Source organism: Homo sapiens, chromosome 8 (assembly GCF_000001405.40).
Source record: "Homo sapiens chromosome 8, GRCh38.p14 Primary Assembly".
In the NCBI taxonomy this organism is placed as follows: domain Eukaryota; kingdom Metazoa; phylum Chordata; class Mammalia; order Primates; family Hominidae; genus Homo; species Homo sapiens.
This window is the reverse complement of record NC_000008.11, coordinates 13851718-13853801: the sequence shown is the minus strand read 5'-3', so window position 1 is coordinate 13853801 and position 2084 is coordinate 13851718. Positions and strand designations below refer to the sequence as shown.

Here is a 2084-nt window from a genome sequence, read left to right as displayed (position 1 = left end):
TACAGGCCTTCCTTTGGTAATAACAGTTTTTTGCAAAGCTTTTTCTAAAGCTGGATCAGATTCACATATGTTTCTATCATACAGATGATGGCTTCTGAGTCCTTTGGAGCCCTGTCAGTAACCACTTTCTCCATCTCCATATTTTGTGGATTCTTAAGAAAAATCCATGCTTATACAACCATGGAAGAAGTATATTTGGCCATAATATAAGTTATATTTTAGATTCCCAAAAGGTAAGAAAGGCAGGTCTATCATTATTAGCAGCCTGTTCTCTCCTCTGCATACTACCCAAGTACATAGCATTATTAAGATACATAGTACTAATTTTCTAATAAATAAGCGTTAAAGTAACATGTAAACATAAAATACCCTTCGAAACAACACTATCATAGGATGGAATGAAGCACGATTTACGTTAATCAATTTTGCATGGCATTGCTAATCATTCTTTACTGTTTATTCGGGATGGATAGTATGCTAAGAGCTATGTATGTCAACAAAGTATTATTCACACACACACACTTTCTCTGGGAATTTATACATAAAATAATCTGAAGAAGGCAATTTTTAAAATTCAAAGTATATTAGATTTAAAGCACATATAATAAAATGCCTCTTATAATATTAAAGGTTTATCTGAAATTTTATAAGATTTCATAAAAATCAAATATGTAAAAACTTTATTTTTTCCTCAGCTTAAAAATACATAAAGATATATATCTTTATATATAGATATATATTATACACATTATATAAATTATATATATAATATACATTATATAATATATAATATATATTTTATAATATATATGTATATATTTTTTATATATATATTATATATACATATGGCAGAGGGGCCTAGTTTTGTTGCCCAGGTTGTTCTGGAATTCCTGAATTCAAGCAATCCTTCCACCTCGACCTCCCCAAATGCTGGGATGATAGGCATGAACCACCAGGTCAAGCAAAAAAAGTAAACACTTTAGCATAAAACATTAAAATCTCAAATTACATGTATTATGATTTGGTTAGAAATCAAAAATTAGGTAAGAATTGTGGATCTACTCAGAGAACTCAGTCTGAAGTGTGTAATATCTTCTTGTTCATATGCAAATGTATATATTCCATTTCTTAGCTATGTAGCTAAAGATAAGCATCAAGTAATTTTAAAAAAGATAATTATGAGGTTCCTGAATTGTATTTTAGATTAAAGGTCTATTCCCATATTTAACTGAGTACAATTTTATGTCTTCTTTATCATCATTATTACTCATAAACAATTAGTTCAGCCATTAATGATGAAGTAGAAATAATGGTCACCAATATTTCAGCGACTTACAATAATATACATGTGATTGCTACATATGCTACCTGCTTGCTGCTAGTTGTGTTGGAGCCACTGTCACTGTCATTCTGGGGTGCAGGCTGAAGGAGCAGCCCCCATCTGGGACAATGTAGAGCTCATTAAAAAAACAAAAGAGAGTCAGTAAGAAACTGCTAGCAAAAACAAAGCATCATTGTGGTGGTAAAGTAAAATTCCCTCAGGGGAAAGGATACCATAGGAAAGGAAATTAATATATGAGCTGTAAATCAAGCTACCCCAATACATTAATTTTTACTTGGCACTCTAATCTGTTGGAAGAGGCAGGGAATTTGGACAGAGACATTAAAATGGACAAAGGTTAACCTATTCTTTTTTCTTAACCTACTTTGGCAAATCTCCCAGAATTTTAAGTTGTCTTACTATTTACTGCTCTGTTTTCAATTAAACCCTTCATCTCTTGTGTTTATGCCCATTCCTGATAACCCAGCTCTGTTTTCTCCTTATGTCTTCAAGGTAGTGGTTTAACTTCCCTACTCTAACCTTGCTAAACCTGGTCAGAACTTCTCAGGAAGGCTAGAGACTCTCTGCAATACAGGATGTGTTTATATACCACACATATGACATTTTTCTTCACAATCTATTTCAGGAACAGTTTCCTTTTCTTTTCTTTTTTCTTTTTTTTTTTTTTTTTCAGACGGAGTCTTGCTCTGTCACCCAGGCTGAAGTGCAGTAGTACGATCTCAGCTCACTGCAAGCTCTGCCT

The 2084-nt window shown here is 32.6% G+C and overlaps 1 annotated feature.

Annotated features, from left to right (window-relative positions):
• Positions 1210 to 1882: an enhancer, noted in NCBI's record as "OCT4-NANOG hESC enhancer chr8:13709429-13710101 (GRCh37/hg19 assembly coordinates)". NCBI's record gives its function as "activates a minimal SCP1, AML or CMV promoter by ChIP-STARR-seq in naive H9 embryonic stem cells {active_cell/tissue: H9 hESC(naive)}" and the evidence as "EXISTENCE:reporter gene assay evidence [ECO:0000049][PMID:30033119]".